Below are 19737 nucleotides of genomic sequence, written 5' to 3' on the forward strand. Positions count from 1 at the left end.
ACCTGGTTTAGACTTGGGAGGGTGTATGTGTCCAGGAATTTATTCTTCTAGATTCCTAGTTTATTTGCATAGAGTTATTTATAGTATTTTCTGATTGTAGTTTGTATTTCTGTGGGATCCGTGGTGATATCCCCTTTATCATTTTTTATTGTGTCTATTTGATTCTTTATTTTTAAAGTTTATTTATTTAAAAATTAGAAAGATAAAAAAATTTATTGTTATTCATAGTACTTTTTATATCACCGCCCATTACACACACACACACACACACACACACACAAACTCACAGCAGAAAGAAACATTTCATAAAACAAATGTATCTTTTCCATTTGTGTAATATCCTGATCTGTTCTATTTTTTTTTAATTTTTTTTATTATACTTTAAGTTTTAGGGTACATGTGCACAACATACAGGTTTGTTCCATATGTATACATGTGCCATGTTGGTGTGCTGCACCCATTAACTCTTCATTTAACATTAGGTATATCTCCTAATGCTATCCCTCCCCCCTCCCCCCACCCCACAACAGTCCCTGGTGTGTGATGTTCCCCTTCCTGTGTCCATGTATTCTCATTGTTCAATTCTCACATATGAGTGAGAACATGTGGTGTTTGGTTTTTTGTCCTTGTGATAGTTTGCTGAGAATGATGGTTTCCAGCTTCATCCATGTCCGTACAAAGGACATGAACTCATCCTTTTTTATGGCTTCATAGTATTCCATGGTGTATATGTGCCACATTTTCTTAATCCCGTCTATCATTGTTGGACATTTGGGTTGGTTCCAAGTCTTTGCTATTGTGAATAGTGCTGCAACAAACACACGTGTGCATGTGTCTTTATAGCAGCATGTTTTATAATCCTTTTGGTATATACCCAGTAATGGGATGGCTGGGTCAAATGGTATTTCTAGCTCTAGATCCCTGAGGAATCACCACACTGACTTCCACAATGGTTGAACTAGTTTACATTCCCACCAACAGTGTAAAAGTGTTCCTATTTCTCCACATCCTCTCCAGCACCTGTTGTTTCCTGACTTTTCAATGATCGTCATTCTAACTGGTGTGAGATGGTATCTCATTGTGGTTTTGATTTGCATTTCTCTGATGGCCAGTGATGATGAGCATTTTTTCATGTGTCTGTTGGCTGCATAAATGTCTTCTTTTGAGAAGTGTCTGTTCATATCCTTCACCCACTTTTTGATGGGGTTGCTTGTTTTTTTCTTGTAAATTTGTTTGAGTTCATTGTAGATTCTGGATATTAGCCCTTTGTCAGATGGGTAGATTGCAAAAATTTTCTCCCACTCTGTAGGTTGCCTGTTCACTCTGATGGTAGTTTCTTTTGCTGCGCAGAAGCTCTTTAGTTTAATTAGATCCCATTTGTCAATTTTGGCTTTTGTTGCCATTGTTTTTGGTGTTTTAGATATGAAGTCCTTGCCCATGCTTATGTCCTGAATGGTATTGCCTAGGTTTTCTTCTAGGGCTTTTATGGTTTTAGGTCTAACATTTAAGTCTTTAATCTTCTCTCTTTTCTTCTTTATGAGTTTTGCTAGTGGTCTATGTATTTTGTTGATCTTTTCAAAAAACCAGCTCCTGGATTCTTTGATTTTTTTTTTGAAGGGATTTTGTGTCTCTATCTCCTTCAATTCTTCTCTGATCTTACTTATTTCTTACCTTCTGCTGGCTTTTGAATTTGTTTGCTCTTGCTTCTCTAGATCTTTTAATCCTGATGTTAGGGTGTTGATTTTAGATCTTTCCTCCTTTCCCTTGAGGGTATTTAGTGCTATAAATTTCCCTCTACGCACTGCTTTAAATGTGTCCCAGAGATTCTGGTATGTTGTGTCTTTGTTCTCATTGGTTTCAAAGAACACCTTTATTTCTGTCTTCATTGCGTTATTTTACCCCCAGTAGTCACTCAGGAGTAGGTTGTTCAGTTTCCATGTAGTTGTGTGGTTTTGAGTGAGTTTATTTATTTTTTTTTTTACGTTGACATTAATTTTTTTTATTATGCATTAAGTTCTAGGGTACCTGTGCAGAACATGCAGGTTTGTTACATATGTATACATGTGCCATGTTGGTGTGCTGCACCCATTAACTCGTCATTTTACAGTAGGTATATCTCCTAATGCTTTCCCTCCCCACTTCCCCCACCCCACAACAGGCCCTGGTGTGTGATGTTCCCCTTCCTGTGTCCAAGTGTTCTGATTGTTCAGTTCCCACCTATGAGTGAGAACATGTGGTGTTTGGTTTTTTGCTCTTGCGATAGTTTGCTGAGAATGACGGCTTCCAGCTTCATCCATGTCCCTGCAAAGGACATGAACTCATCCTTTTTTATGGCTGCATAGTATTCCATGGTGTATATGTGCCACATTTTCTTAATCCAGTCGATCATTGATAGACATTTGGGTTGGTTCCAAGTCTTTGCTATTGTGAATAGTGCCGCAATAAACATACGTGTGCATGTGCATTTATGGCAGCATGATTTATAATCCTTTGGGTATATTCCCAGTAATGGGATGGCTGGGTCAAATGGTATTTCTAGCTCTAGATCCTTGAGGAGTCGCCACACTGTCTTCCACAATGGTTGAGCTAGTTTACAGTCCCACCAACAGTGTAAAAGTGTTCCTGTTTCTCCACATCCTCTCCAGCACCTGTTGTTTCCTGACGTTTTAATGATTGCCATTCTAACTGGTGTGAGATGGTATCTCATTGTGGTTTTGATTTGCATTTCTCTGATGGCCAGTGATGATAAGCATTTTTTCATGTGTCTGTTGGCTGCATAAATGTCTTCTTTTGAGAAGTGTCTGTTCATATCCTTCACCCACTTTTTGATGGGGTTGTTTGTTTTTTTCTTGTAAATTTGTTTGAGTTCATTGTAGATTCTGGATATTAGCCCTTTGTCAGATGGGTAGATTGCAAAAATTTTCTCCCATTCTGTAGGTTGCCTGTTCACTCTGATGGTAGTTTCTTTTGCTGTGCAGAAGCTCTTTAGTTTAATTAGATCCCATTTGTCAATTTTTGCTTTTGTTGCCATTGCTTTTGGTGTTTTAGCATTTTTTTTTTTTTACTTTAGAACGATTTATTTGGAAACCATTTTCAGAATGTTTTAGAGTGAAAAGTAGTCAGTTAGGTTCTCAATACAATGTATCAGATTAAATGCACTAAATCCCTAAATTTGATAAAGACAATAGGGGGGAAACTCCAGTAACAGAAAGCATTGAGGAGGCTGTGTCTAAGGGACTTTTTGAGTGATGTAAGAGAGAAATAAAGGCAAAGTTGAAAATAACTCAATATGTGAGAAGACAGGAATGGAAGTTTGCTGGAAGGTGTTAAGGAGAGAAATGAGTTTAGTTTCTAAATTCTAAGGCATTGTATGGAAACTTCCAGCAGGTAGTTAGAATTCAGGTCTGAGAATTGAGTGAGAGGTGAGAATTGAATCAATGGGAGCTTGACAGGGAGAGTAAGGAATTAGACAAAGATGGGAAGAGGCCAAACAGAAAACTTCAGGTGGCATCTACTTTCTATGAAGAAACCTGACTAAAATAAGGAAAGTGACTGAGCCAGCAGAGGAGGAGAAAGACAACTGACGTCAGAGGAGCTGGATGAGCATTCCAGGACGAGGCTCCAAGGTAAAGCATGTGGTAACTGCACAAACGTCAAGTAGAATGAAGAATGAGGAAATGCCTGTAATAAAACAGGCATTTGAGGGTATCTGGTGACGTTTCAGAGCCCTAGACTCTTCTTCTGTGTATGGTAGCATCTAGATTTCCACTTTGACAAAAGCAGTGGCTACTTCTTTCAACACTGTTATGGACTGAATTGTGTCACCCAAAATTCATATGTCGAGCCCTAATGCGATGGTATTTGTTGATGAGACCTTTGGGAGGTAATTAGGGTTACATAGGGACATAAGGGTAGGGCCCTAATTTAATGGGATTAGTGCCCTCATAAGGAGAAGGAGCACAAATCAGCTCTCTCTTTCAACGCAGTCACATAGAAAAGTCATGTGAGCACACAGTGAGAAGGCGGCCATCTGCAAGCCAGAAAGAGAGCCCTTACTATAAACCAGCAATGATGGCACCTTGACCTTAAGATTTGTAGCCTCCAGAACTGTGAAAAATGAATGTCAATTGTTTAAGGCACCCAGTCTGGAATATTTTGGTATGGCAAGCAAAAGACTGATACAATAACCAATAAAGCAACAAAGTTTGATTTGCCAGTTCTGGAAAATGCCCCCCTCAGGAATACTTAGACCTCGGTTCTATCCCTGGATCCTAACTAACTCAAAACTACTGGATTAGTAACTTAACCTCTCTGAGCTTCAGTTGCAGAATCCAGAGAAAGAGGACACTGAAGTAAACCATCTCAGAGGTTCTTTTGAACTTTTCTGGTGTATTTTTCCAAGAAGCAATTTCAATATTGGAATGTTGGTAAATGTTGTCAAGCCCCCAAATAGCAACCACATCATCTCCATTACTAGAGATAGGTGGTCAGAAAATGGGCCTAGAGGGCATTTTAAATACTTTTCTACTACAAAGATTCTTTGCTGTTTAACAAGGTTGTTGGCAGCCCCTGAGATGGTATAGTCAAGAAAAGACCTGGCAGGAAAGAAGTGCCATTCAGAGAAAACACCACTGATTTTTAAAATGTGAATTGCAGGCTTCTCCTCCCCTTTCCTTTATCAACTGTGATTAGGCTGTACTTTGCTCGAGTTTACAATAATGATACTTTTACACTCAGCACTGTGCATTCTGAAGAGTGGGCCTAAAAGTACTTTACCATCTCATAGAGAAGAGTTCTTTCCTAGCAGGGTGTATTGCCAAGCCCTCTCTGCTTTGTCCTTCCCTCCATGGTTTGTTAACCAGCAGGAATGCTTTTTTTTATTATTATACTTTAAGTTTTAGGGCACATGTGCACAATGTACCGGTTAGTTACATATGTATACCTGTGCAATGCTGGTGTGCTGCACCCATTAACTCGTCATTTAGCATTAGGTATATCTCCTAATTGTTTTAGCAGTCTTATACACCAATAACAGACAAACAGAGAGCCAAATCATGAGTGAACTCCCGTTCACAATTGCTTCAAAGAGAATAAAATACCTAGGAATCCAACTTAACAAGGGATGTGAAGGACCTCTTCAAGGACAACTACATACCACTGCTCAAGGAAATATGAGAGGACACAAGCAAATGGAAGAGCATTCCATGCTCATGGATAGGAAGAATCAATATCGTGAAAATGGCCATACTGCCCAAGGTAATTTATAGATTCAATGTCATCCCCATCAAGCTACCAATGACTTTCTTCACAGAATTGGAAAAAACTACTTTAAAATTCATGTGGAACCAAAAAAGAGCCCGCATTTCCAAGACAATCCTAAGCCAAAAGAACAAAGCTGGAGGCATCACGCTACCTGACTTAAGTGAGTTTGTTAATCCCGAGTTCTAATTTGATTGCACTGTGGTCTGAGAGACTGTTTGTGGTGATTTCTGTTCTTTTACATTTGCTGAGGAGTGCTTTACTTCCAATTATGTGGGTCAATTCTGGAATAAGTGCGATGTGGTGCTGAGAAGAATGTATATTCTGTTGATTTGGTGTGGAGACTTCAGTAGATGTCTATTAAGTCCACTTGGTCCAGAAGTGAGTTCAAGTCCTGGATATCCTTGTTAACCTTCAGTCTTGTTGTTCTGTCTAATATTGACAGGGGGGTGTTAAAGTTTCCCATTATTATTGTGTGGGAGTCTAAGTCTCTTTGTAGGTCTCACTTGCTCTATGAATCTGGGTGCTCCTGTACTGGGTGCTTATATATTTAGGATAGTTAGCTCTTCTTGTTTAATTGATCCCTTTACCATTATGGAATGGCCTTCTTTGTCTTTTTTGATCTTTGTTGCTTTAAAGTCTGTTTTATCAGAGACTAGGATTGCAACCCCTACTTTTTTTTGCTTTGCATTTGCTTGGTAGATCTTCCTCCATCCCTTTATTTTGAGCCTTTATGTGTCTTTGCACATGAGATGGGTCTCCTGAATAGAGCACACCAATGGATCTTGACTCTTTATCCAATTTGCCAGTCTGTATCTGTTAATTGGGGCATTTAGCCCATTTACATTTAAGCTAAATATTGTTATGTGTGGATTTGATCCTGTCATTATGATGTTAGCTGGTTATGTTGCCCGTTAATTGATGCAGTTTCTTCATAGCTTTGATGGTCTCTACAATTTGGCATGTTTTTGCAGTGGCTGATACCGGTTGTTCCTTTCCATGTTTAGTGCTTCCTTCCGGAGCTCTTGTAAGGCAGGCCTGGTGGTGACAGAATCTCCCAGCATTTGCTTGTCTGTAAGAGATTTTATTTTTCCTTCACGTATGAAGCTTAATTTGGCTGGATGTGAGATTCTGGGTTGAAAATTCTTTTCTTTAAAAAAGTTGAACATTGGCCCCCACTCTCTTCTGGCTTGTAGGGTTTCTGCCAAGAGAGCCACTGTTAGTCTGACCAGCTTCCCTTTGTGGGTAACCTGACCTTTCTCTCTGGTTGCCCTTAACATATTTTCCTTCATTTCAACCTGGGTGAGTCTGACAATCATGTGTCTTGGGGTTGCTCTTCTCAAGGAGTATCTCTGTGGTGTTCTCTGTATTTCCTGAATTTGAATGTTGGCCTGCCTTGCTAGGTTAGGGAAGCTCTCCTGGATAATATCCTGAAGAGTGTTTTCTAACTTGGTTTCATTCTCCCCATCCCTTTCCGGTACACGAATCAAATGTAGATTTGGTCTTTTCACATAGTCTCATTATTTCTTGGAGGCTTTGTTCTTTTGTTTTCACTCTTTCTTCTCTAATCTTGTCTTCTCTCTTTATTTCAATAATTTGATGTTCAATCACTGATATCCTTTCTTCCACTTGATTGAATCGGTTATTGAAGCTTGTAAATGCATCACAAAGTTCTCGTGCCATGGTTTTCAGCTCCATCAGGTCATCTAAGCTCTTCTCTACACTGTTTATTCTAGTTTAGCCATCCGACTAACCTTTTTTCAAGGTTTTTAGCTTCCTTGTGATAGGCTAGAACATGCTCCTTTAGCTCAGAGAAGTTTGTTGTTACTGACCTTCTGAAGCCTACTTCTGTCAACTTGTTAAACTCATTCTCCATCCAGTTTTGTTCTGCTGCTGGCGAGGAGCTGCAATCCTTTAGAGGAGAAGAGGCACTCTGGTGTTTGGAATTTTCAGCTTTTCCGTTCTGGTTTCTCCCCATCTTTGTGGTTTTATCTACCTTTGGTCTTTGATGTTGGTGACCTACAGATGGGATCTTGGTGTGGATGTCCTTTTTGTTGATGTTGTTGCTATTCCTTTCTGTTTGTTACCTTTCCTTTGAACAGTCAGACTCCTCAGCTGCAGGTCTACTGGAGTTTGCTGGAGGTCCACTCCAGACCCTGTTTGCCTAGGTATCACCAGGGGAGACTGCAGAACAGCAAATATTGCTGCCTGATCCTTCCTCTGGAAGCTTCGTCCTAGAAGAGCACCTGCCTGCTTGAGGTGTCTGTTGGCCCCTACTGGGAGGTGTTTCCCAGTCAGGCTACACAGGGGTCAGGGACCAGCTTGAGGAGGCAGTCTGTCCATTCTTGGAGCTTGAATGCCATGCTGAGATAACCACTCCTCTCTTCAGAGCTGTCTGACAGGGATGTTTAAGTCCGCAGAAGCTGTCTGCTGCCTTTTGTTCAGATATGCCCTGCCCCCAGAGGTGGAATCTATAAAGACAGTAGGCCTTGCTGAGCTGCAGTGGGCTCCACACAGTTTGTGATTCCCAGCTGCTTTGTTTACACGGTAAGCTACTCAAGGCTCAGCAGTGGTGGACGCCTCTCCCCCCGTCAAGCTGCAGCATAGCAGGTTGATCTTAGACTGCTGGCGCTAGCAGTGAGCAAGGCTCCGTGGGCATGGGACCCACCGAGCCAGGCATGGGAGGGTATCTCCTGATCTGCCGGTTGCTGAGACCGTGGGAAAAGTGCAGTATTTGGTCAGGAGTGCACCGTTTCTCCATGTACGGTCTGTCATGGCTTCCTTTGGCTAGGAAAGGGAAATCCCCCGACCCCTTGTGCTTCCTGGGTGAGGCAACGCCCTGCCCTGCTTCAGTTCACCCCCAGTGGGCTATACCCACTGTTCAACCAGTCCCAATGAGATGAACCAGGCACCTCAGTTGGAAATGCAGAAATCACCCATCTTCTGCATCGATCTTGCTGGGAGCTGCAGACTGGAGCTGTTCCTATTAGGCCATCTTCCTAAGTCAGCATCTGTTTATTTATTTTCTAAGTCAGAGTTTCACTCTGTCACAGGCTGGTGTGCAGTGGCATGATCCCGGCTCACTGCAACCTCCGTCTCCCGGATTTAAGCAATTCTTGTGCCTCATGAGTAGCTGGGAATACAGGCAGGTGCCACCACACCGGGCTTATTTTTGTACTTTTGGTAGAGACAGGGTTTCACCATGTTGGCCAGACTGGTCTCAAACTGCTGAGCTCAAGAGATCTGCCTGACTCAGCCTCCTAAAGTGCTCGGATTACAGGCGTGAGCCACCGTGCCCAGCCCTACCTTTTGAACTGTTTAAAGGGATGGCTATTAAATTTTGGCCAGAAAGGAGAACAAGGGACTATAAATCCTAGAACCAGTGAACTTCAGAGCAATAGCTAGAGTCTGGGAAAAAGTACAAAAGAGTTTTGCTTTTTTCTTAAGTGGTAGAAGAAAACCATAGCGGGGGCAGAAAAAAGATAAAAAGATCATGTTAATGTTCCAGAGGGTGACACAACATGATAGGCCATAGGACAGGTGAAAAAAGTGCTGGGAAAAAAAATCAGAAAATTAACCTCGTTCTGCAGTTTTGGGCAGAAGTTGTCCACTTCCGAAGTAGGTGGTTCATTCTATAGTCTTGGACGGAATCTGTCCATTTTTGAAATCAGCTGTTTCTGAAGAATTTCTAAGAATCCTCAGTTTGAGGTTCCCTAATGGAATGGGCTTCCAGTAGTCGGGACAAAATGATGTATTTTTTTTCTAATTGGGAAGTATGATTCCCGGATCTATTCCGTGTTGTTTTATTGTTGTGTCAGTTATTAGCAGTGTCTGATGAGGTCTTTTTAATTGAGGTTCAAGGGCAGTTTTCCTTTTATGTCACTTCCAGAAGACTAAATCTCCCAGTTACAGATCTTACAGAAGCTTCTTAGCTGGGGTTTTGGAAATGAAGCTTGTACTTGGTGAAACACCTGGAAGCATCATATGATCTCTTGTATTCAGACACATTGACTGTAGTGTGGCAGAAAGTACGACTGGAAGCAATTTCCAAATGTGTGGGGCAGTCTGATAATTAACTCCAGAGTAGAGAACTTGCAGGTCCTGAGGGGGATTGATCTTATTGTCATCAAGGCCAGTGGAAATAGTTCGGTGCTTGGAAGTTTAAGGATACCTGAGAGCTTTGAAAATTCTAAGTTGAGAATTCCATTAGCTCTCTTTATTTTCTCTGCAGTCTGCGGATGATAAGGACAGTGGAGTTCTGAATAAAAGGTGTTAAATTATTCTTTAATAATACTTCTAGTGAAATATGTGTCCATGTTACTGAAGAGATAAGTTGGAATTCTCCAGTTTTTGAATATAAAGTAATTTTAAAAATCATGACGGCCATAGCTGTTCAACTAAGAGAGTGCACCCACCCTAAGAACGAAAACCAATAACCAGAACATATTTATGGACCGCTGCTGAAGGCACTTGTGGAAAATCCATTTGGAGGTGTTCAAAGAGGCCTTGAGCTTGTGGCTCTGTCCCATGTCTTGCCTGCATAGTCTTGCCAGGATTGTGTCTTCAGCTGGTAGATATGTATTGGAAATTTTCTTGGCAATATTCTTAAAATTACTCAACTAATATTGAATGCTTCAATATCATGGCCAACTTATCTCTGCAATTGTGAGAAATATCAGGAAGCATTTTTTGTTTAAACTCCACTTTTATTATGGCCATACCTCTGGATGCAAGTAAAAGATGTCAAGGTTTTAAGATTTATGTCCATTTTATAGGGCTTCCTGTAAGGAGAGAAAACAAAGTTTAGATATAGAGAAACATTTTGATAAACATACACACTAAAGAGAGTGACAGTGTGGCTGATTTGAGGACTTAAGCCCTAGACAATATTATCAAGCCACGCGAATAAAGAGCTGGGATGTATTAATCCAAGTGATGGAAATGAAGATGGGACTGACTCCTATATTAAACAAAATGATCTCTCATTTAGGCAGCCAGGAAAAACAATCTCCTCATGAAGATTGATTCACATTTTGTTTTGTTTTTAGGGTACCTGTCAAATGAAAAATCTGATTCGTGTCAAGATGTCCCAAAAAAGGCCATAGCAATTTTCAAATTGGCCCTAGTGAAATTGTGTCCGTTAGGGACAAGTACATACGCTAACATTATAATGAGAAAACATGAAGGAAACAGGTGTTTGTCCTGGAAGAAATGCAGTTTTAGATAGAATGACCCCATAAGAAACAGCAGTCTACAAGCATGGCGCTTTTGTAACTTAGTGTCTGTGGAATTTGGTGCAAGGCCAGTTGTCCCCCATCAGGGGCCAGACAATACCAGCTGTTTCTGGGCAAGTGAAACTGAACAAAGCAGTTTTGGCAAACTGACACAAACACAAGACTAAGGAAAAGGTCCTTAAAGTGTTTCGATATGGTGACCTGAGACAACATACGTCTGAAGAAAAACGGTCTTGGGAGATCGTCTGAGCTTCTCAGTCCAAGGGACTGGCTTGCAGACAGACTTACTGAGTTTATGCCTATCCTCCCCCACTCAGTAATCATTTTACAGACAAATGGCACTTAAGATACTAAACAAGCAGACAGACCATAAGAGCAGATTTAGAAGGCCAGAAAGCAACTGCACCAAGGAACAACACAAATCTGACCAGTGAATCAAACAAATCCCAAGAGACTGTATTCCTAGGAAACTGAAACAAACCCAATGATGGAGTGATTCAATAAACCCAACGATGAAGAGATTCAAAGCTTAATTCAGCATGAACTTTCTACCAGCCATGGGTAAGATGACACCTTGAACAGGTAGAGACAACAAGAGGTCTCAGATATGCACACTCTTATTGAGTTGACGATTCAGATCCAATACAGTGACAAGTTCAGCTGAATCCTGGCTGGAAACCCCGTTTGTGTAAATAACTTCCAGGCAACGACCAGCAGGATCTGATCAAAATATGAAAAATAGAACTACCATACAACCCAGCAATCCCACTGCTGGGTATCTATCCAAAGGAAAAGAAATCAGTACATCAAAGGAATACCTGCACTCACATGTTTATAGCAGCACTATTCACAATAGCCAAGATATGGAATCAATCTAAGTGCCCATCAGTGGATGAACGTATGGAGAAAATGTGGTATATACACACAATAGAATACTATCTGACCACAGAAAAAAATAAAATCACGTCATTTGCAGCAACATGAATGGAACTGGAAGTCATCATGTTAAGTGAAATAAGCCAGGTGCTGAAAGACAAATTTCACATGTTCTCACTTGCACATGGGAGCGAAAAAAGTTGATTTTAAGGACATAGAGGATAGACTGATAGATCCCAGAGACTGGGGAGATTGGGTAGGGTGGAAGGGGGTGTGAAGAGAGGTTGGTTATGGATACCATCACACAGTTAGAAGAATTAAGTTCTAATGTTTGGGTAGTGGATTAGGGCAACTATTCTTAAAACCAATACTGTTTACATTTCCAAGTAACTAGAAGAGAGGGGTTCAAATGATACCAACACATAAAACGATAAACACGCAAGGTGATGGGTACTCCAGTTACCCTGACTTGATCATTATACATTCTTTGCATGTAAAAAACACTCACATGTACCCACATGTATGTAAATTATTCCATGTCAGTAAAAGGGGAAGAAAAAGAAAATATAGGAGACAATCTTTGTGATAATAGATTAGGCAAAAAATTCTTATATCTGACACTAAAAGGATAAAGAAAGAAAAAACACCATAAAGAAAAAAACTGGTAAATTGGACTTTGTCAAAATTAAAAACTTTTGCTCTTGCAAAGACCCAAGTTAAGAGTGTGAAAAGACAAACCACAGACTGAGAAAAAAATATTTGCAAAGCTTATATTTGATAAAGCATTTGTGTTAAGAATATATAAAGAATTCTCTGCTGGGCACAGTGGCTCATGCTTGTAACCCCATTGCTTTGTGCGTTGCCTTTTTGATTTCTGTTTCAGCTATTTCATAATTGGTGTCTGAAATTGCTACTGATTTCTGTATGTCAATTTTGTATCTGCAACTTTACTGAATGTGTTGGATCAGTTCCAACGGTTTTCTGGTGGGGTTCTTCTGTTTTTTCTAGATATAAGATTATGTTGTCTGGAAGGAAGGATATTTTGACTTCCTTTTTTCCAGTTTGAAAGACTTTTATTTCATTTTCTTGCCTGATGGCTCTGGCTAGGACTTCCAGTACTGTGTTGAATAGAAGTGGTGAAAGTGGGGATCCTTGTCTTGTTCTAATTCTTAGTGGAAGGGCATTTAATTTTTCCCCACTTAGTATAATGTTAGCTATGAGTTTGTCACATATGGGCTTTATTATTTTAAGGTGTGGTCCTTCTATGCCTACTTTGTTGAGAGTTTTTTTTTTTTTTTTATCATGAAGCGGAGTTGAATTTTGTCAAATGTTTTTTTCTGTGTCTATTGAGATGATCACATGGTTTCTGTCCTTTATTCTGTTGATGTGATGTATCATGTTTATTGATTTCTGTATGTTGAACCATCCTTACATCACTGGAATAAATCACACTTGATCATGGTGTATTTTCTTTTTGATGTGCTGTTGGATTTGGCTTGCCAGTATTTTGCTGAGGATTTTTGCATCTAAGTTCATCAGGGATATCGGCCAGTAGTTTTCTTTTTTTGTTGTGTCCTTGTCTGGTTGGGGTATCAGGGTAATGCTAGCCTCATAGAATGGGTTAGGGAGAATTCGCTCCTCTTTAATTTTTTTGAATAGTTTGGGGAGGTGCCATTGTCTACCAAATTCAAACACAAAATAAAGCCTTTAAATGAAAGAGGCCCATAGGTGACAATAAGGATCCCTGACACCCAATTCGCCAAGATCTCAAACAGGCTCTCTGACACTAGAAACTGAGATTTAGGTTTCCTCGACCACTTAGTAGCAGGGAAAACTGTTTCAGAACTATAGGTCATCTACACTCTCACCACTTCTATTCAACATAGAACTGGAAGTCCTAGCCAGAGCAATCAGACAAGAGAAATAAATAAAGGGCATCAAAATCAGTAAAGAGGGAGTCAAACTGTCACTGTTTGTTGATGATATGATCGTATATCTGGAAAACCCTAAAGACTCCTCCAAAAAAGCTTCTGGAACTGATACACAAATTCAGCAAACTTTCAGGATACAAAATTAATGTACAAAAATCAGTAGCTCTGCTATACACCAACAGCAACCAAGCTGAGAATCAAATCAAGAACTCAACTCCTTTTACAATAGCTGAAAAAATAAAATAAAATAAAATAAAATAAAATAAAATAAAATAAAATAAAATAAAATACTTGGACTATACCTAACCAAGGAGGTGAAAGACCTTTACAAGGAAAACTACAAAACACTGCTGAAAGAAATCATAGATGACACCAACAAATGGAAACACATCCCATGCTCATGGATGGGTAGAATCAATATTGTGAAAATGACCACACTGCCAAAAGCAATCTACAAATTCCATGCAATTTCCATCAGAATACCACCATCATTCTTCACAGAACTAGAAAAGACAATCCTAAGATTCATATGGAACCAAAAAAGAGCCCGCATAGCCAAAGCAAGACTAAGCAAAAAGAACAAATCTGGAGGCATCACATTGCCGGACTTCAAACCATACTACAAGGCCATAGTCACCAAAACAGCATGGTACTGGTATAGAAATAGGCACACAGACCAATGGATCAGAATATAGAACCCAGAAATAAAGCCACATACTGACACCTAACTGATCTTTGACAAAGCAAACAAAAACTTGAAGTGGGGAAAGGACACCCTATTCAACAAAGGGTGCCGAGATAATTGACAAGCCACATGTAGAAGAATGAAACTGGATCCTCATCTCTCACCTTATACAAAAATCAACTCAAGGTGGATCAAGGACTTAAATCTAAGACCTGAAACTATGAAAATTCTAGAAGATAACATCGGAAAAACCCTTCTAGACATTGGCTTAGGCAAAGACTTCATGACCAAGAACTCAAAAGCAAATGCAACAAAAACAATGATAAATAGGTGGGACTTAATTAAACTAAAAAGTTTCTGCACAGCAAAAGGAATGGACAGCAGCATAAACAGGCAAGTCACAGAGTGGGAAAAAGTCTTCACAATCTATACATCCGAAAGAGGACTAATATCCAGAATCTACAAGGAACTGAAACAAATTATCAAGAAAAAGACAAACAATCCCATGAAAAAATGGGCAAAGGACATGAATAGACAATTCTCAAAGAAGATATACAAATGGCCAGCAAACATATGAAAAATGCTCAACATCACTAATGATCAGGGAAATGCAAATCAAAACCACAATGTGATACCACCTTACTCCTGCAAGAATGACCATAATCAAAAAATAATAGATGTTGGCGGGGATGTGGTGAAAAGGAAACACTCTTACACTGCTGGTGGGAATGTAAGCAAGTACAAAGCACTAGTGCGCAACTAGTACAAACCGTGGAAAAGAGAAGTGTGGAGATCCCTTAAAGAACTAAAAGTAGAACTACCATTTGATCCAGCAATCCCACTACTAGGTATCTACCCAGAGGAAAAGAAGTCATTATATGAAAAAGATACTTGCACTTGCATGTTTATAGCAGCAAATTTTGCAATTGCAAAAATATGGAACCAGCCCAAATGCCCATCAATCAGTGAGTGGGTAAAAAAATTGTGGTGTGTATATATACCATGGAATACCACTCAGCTGTAAAAAGGAATGACATAGTGGCATTTGCAGCAATCTGGATGGAATCGGAGACCATTACTCTAAGTGAAGTAACTCAGGAATGGAAAACCAAACATTGTATGTTGTCGCTCATAAATGGTTGCTAAGCTATGAGGATGCAAAGGCATAAGAATGATACGGTGGACTTTGGGGACTTGGGGGAAAAGGTTGGGAGGGGGTGAGGGATGAAAGACCACAAATTGGGTACAGTGTATACTGCTTGGGTGATGGGTGCACCAAAATCTCACAAGTCACCACTAAAGAACCTAGGTAACCAAACACCACCTTTTCCTGAAAACCGTATGGAAATAAAATGAAAATGAACTATAGGACGTCTAATAATGGGCCATTTAAATGGCCCACAAGTATCCTTTTCTGGGTCAAATGCTGGGCCATTGATTTTCTATGGCTCTCCCACTAAATGGCCTCTCTACTTTCCCCAATCTTTGTCAATGGAATCGATAGCTCCATATAATAGAGACTTGGCCATCTTTGGTGCCACCCTCCAGGGTCATATGGCCATATACAACCCTGGTGGTCCATTGGTTCCCTCATAATACTCAACACTTTCTGGCCTTACTCAACACAGGTTCTCTGGTCACTTGGATTCCTGGGGATCCTTCCAAATTCAAGCAGAGGATTCTTTTTCACCAAGGTGGATTATAGGCTATAGAAGCAAGGGTATGCCACCCCCTGCCAGCCCTCACCATTGAGACCATTATTCTGTGTGATTTTTACCATGGTCATAGCACCCATCAAATTCGCCAGCCTGATCATTTGCACTGATGCCCTGACTCAAAGGACAACAGGATGGGTCAAACTAAACACGGTTGTGTTAATTATTGGAGCCAAATGGACCCCAGTAATACTTTCCATATGGGTGAAATTTGTCAATCCCCACAAATATATGAATATATTTGGACTCCAAGTCATGGATTCCCAACTCTGATTCCCATTTCCTGAGCACAACCTCCATACTGCATTTCTGTGTCCTTTTTTTTTTTTTTTTTTACCCAAATGCAATCCACAAAGAGTTGACACCTGGACCCAAGGCAGGATAATACACTGGGATCCTCTGGCCATAGATGGAACAGTGAAATATCCAACATGACTTTTCTACTTTTTCTGGAAAGCAGGCACTACCACTTTCTAAGGCTTTCCACAGTTATGATGGATTTAAAGGTTAGCTAATTACAGGCCCTTCCCAACAGGAAATAAAAGTGTTGGCCTATAGACCCATGCCTACCACCATGTAGATCTTGCAGAAAGGAGAGAACGATGGCTATCACTGGCCTAGCTATGCCTGATATGGCTGGTGGCTTGGATCTGGGACACAGTTTCCCCTACTCAATGCCAGGCTACCAAGGCAGTATTGCACCCACAGTGTCATCTCTATCCGTAGTGTACAACTAGTCCTCTGCAAAACCATTGACTAGGCATATGAACAGTATCCAGACCAGCCATCAGGATGAATAAAAAATAATGTGGTCCTACACTGGTTGTGCTCCCTGGAGCTACCTTTAGCGTAGTTATGATGATAGACTTTCTGACCTTGACCTGTGCCTCCAAGTCCTGGATTTGGCTCAAGAGTCATACTGGCCCTGGGAGGCCATCGCCACATCCTGGATGATGACTACAGCCCAGCCAACCAAAGTATCTCAAAGGATGACCACAGTCCAAACAACCACCACCTTCTAGACTCCTGGGTTATAACCCTCTCCTTCCCCATCCTCCTCATTGTGTGCATAAAACCACACTTTTAAGACCAGCCTCACTAGAGTTTCCATACCCACCCTAGGAGAACAAAGCCCATTTCCACTAAGGCTAAAACCTTGTCCCCGTGTGCCTCCTGAGGCAAGGCTACTGCTTGAGGCTACCTACCCCCTGTGATAATCTGTGTGTATACATAGCTGAAGTTACATCCCAAAGGCTGGACCTCACACAATGCCAGGCCTGCTTCCTGCCCCCAGGAACAGACCCCCCCCTCTTATTTGCTGACCCAAAGCTCATGAAACAAACCCATAAAGCCATCCATAGCAAACGTTATCGTTTTAAGGCCGTGGGTTTCCCTCTATGCTGTCCAGGTCCAGATCAAGGGGATGCTGATGTATCAGGTCTGGTCCCAGGCCCATGATTGCAGGTCAGGCACCTATCCAAATGCATGTGCTCCTATTTGTTTGCCTATGCCCACACAGCATAAGCAGACATAATACCCCACATAATAAAGGAACCTCCAGGTAAACCTGAGAGTGGCATGTGCCAGTCTCCTAGATAACTCCCGCCTGCTAAGCTCACTCTTAGAAATCTCGCCTGCACATTGCTAACACTGCTCTTCCTCACTCCACTCACTCCTCAGCCGCCCCTGCACTCTGTGGGCTGTCAGAAATTGGTCCATTCCCCCTCCCCCGACACTATTAAAAACTCCTACAGGGGGGCTCCTTATCCTGTATATATTTCCAGGTGCTCCACTCCCTCCCCCACACCTCCCTCTCCCTTCCTCGGGGACGCCCCTCACTTTAACTACCCCCGGGTGACTAATACACCTTTGAAATACTTGAGATAATTGCTGGCTCTGGTGTGGAGTGTGTTGACACTGATACCTTTAAAAGGAGGGGAGCAGCAGACCTGGCAGCTAGCCAGGTCATCGGGCTGTACCACCGTCAATAGGAGAATAAACACACTGTGATGTACTCGTACAATGGAATACTACTCAGCAATAAAAACTAACAGACTGTCAATGCACACAACAACAAGGATGAATCTCAAAAAACGTTAAGTTGAGCAAAAGAAGCCTGAAAAAAATGAGCACTGTGGCTCAGTTTCTATAAAGTTGCGGAAGAGGCAAAATTAATCTGCGGTGATAGAAATCAGAAAAGGGGTTGCCGCTGGAGGGATGGGTGGATACTGACTGACTGCGAAGCAACGCAAGGGAACTTTCTGGGGCGATTGAAGTCGTCTCTATTCTGATCTGTGTGACAGTTACCAAAGTGAATGCATTGGACAAAAATCAGCCATCTCTATACTTAACCATTTGGATTTGTGCATTTTTGTGCATGTAATTTATGCTCCCAATTTAAAGTGCTGCCAGTATAAGAAAAGGAATAAAACAAAAAAAAAATTGCTACCCCAACTTTCTTTTTGTTTTATATTGTTTTCCACACTTTTGTTCTCAATCTTTCTGTTTTTTATTTTTATTTTTTATTTTTTTGATGTAAACGTGTTTCTTGGTTCTCATTTTAAAAATCCAACCTGAGGGTCTCTTTTAATTGGTGAATGTAGCAGATTCACAATTACATTTACTGTAATTATTTTGCATTAAGACTTACTCACGCTGTGTTATTAGGCCATATATGAACAACCCATAGCCCAACAGCCTGAGATCTATTTGGAAGCTTCAATGAACAGAGCTGGGATGGAACTATATGGGTGACCCTTGTTTCCTGACCAGGGTCAAACTGAACTTGCCAGTTGAGAATTTTCTTATGGACGGAACAGAATAGGACATGCAGCTAATCTTACGCATTTCTGAATAGTAAGAACTCAGAGGGGAACTTGCCATGATGTAAATTATGTGTATGATAAAGATATCCTAATTAGAACAGTGTTGTGCTGGCTCTTGAGATAAATAGGTCAACAGAAAAGAACACAAAACCCAGAGACAGACCTTTGCATGTAGGGAATTTGATAAGTTTAACATTTGTTGGCACTGCAAGTCAGTGTTGCAATGATGGACATTTGATAGAAAGTACGTACTTCCAACCCCCCAAATAGAAAGCCCCACTCCAAAGGTGACCACTCTTAGGCCGGGCGCGGTGGCTCACGCCTGTAATCCCAGCTCTCAGGGAGGCAAGAGGCGGGAGGATAGCTTGAGCCCAGGAGTTCGAGACCTGCCTGGGCAATATAGCGAGACCCCATTCTCCAGAAAAAGGAAAAAAACAAAAAACAAAAAACAAAAGACAAAAAAAAAAAAAATAAGCGTAGCAAAGGTGACCACACTTAAAAGGTTGATGCGTATCCTTTTAGACCTGTTCTATGCTTTTACACTAGTGTATTTTTACCCACAGAAATGTATGATTGAGTTTTGCTTTGTCTGACTAAATGATGACAATCCTATATATTGTTCCTCAACATTTTAAAACTCAAGAATAGATGTTTTTTCACGTCATACCTGTAAATCTTCCTTAATCTTTCAACTTACACATGGTAGTTAGTCACAGTGTAGTTTTTAAAAGCATTCTCTTATTGATGAATATTTCTGTTATTTTCAATTTTGGTAACCATTATATACAAGACAGCAATGACAATTCTTGCACACATCTCCTTGTGCATAGGATTGGGTGGTTCTCTAGGATTAGGGTTGCCAGAGTTAGCAAATAAAAGTACAGGAAACCCAGTTACATTTGAATTTCTTAGCATTTAGTAAGTGTTTTAGTGTAAGAATGCCTCAAATATTGCATACAGGACACACTTACACTAAAAAAGTATTTGCTGTGGATCTGAAATTCAAGCTTAACTGGGAGTCCATTATTTTATTTGGTACCAATATGAAGGATGAATACCTATAAGTGAATTTTTGTTGTTGAGTGTATACGCATTTAAAATTTTACAGCTGATTGACAGTCTTTACAATTGTGTTTTGCCATATTTGATATGAATCTACTTAAAAATGGATTTGCTGTATGTTGGGTAAATAATTGTATCTCTTTGTCGTTT

This window comes from Homo sapiens, chromosome X (genome assembly GCF_000001405.40).
Source record: "Homo sapiens chromosome X, GRCh38.p14 Primary Assembly".
In the NCBI taxonomy this organism is placed as follows: Eukaryota; Metazoa; Chordata; class Mammalia; order Primates; family Hominidae; genus Homo; species Homo sapiens.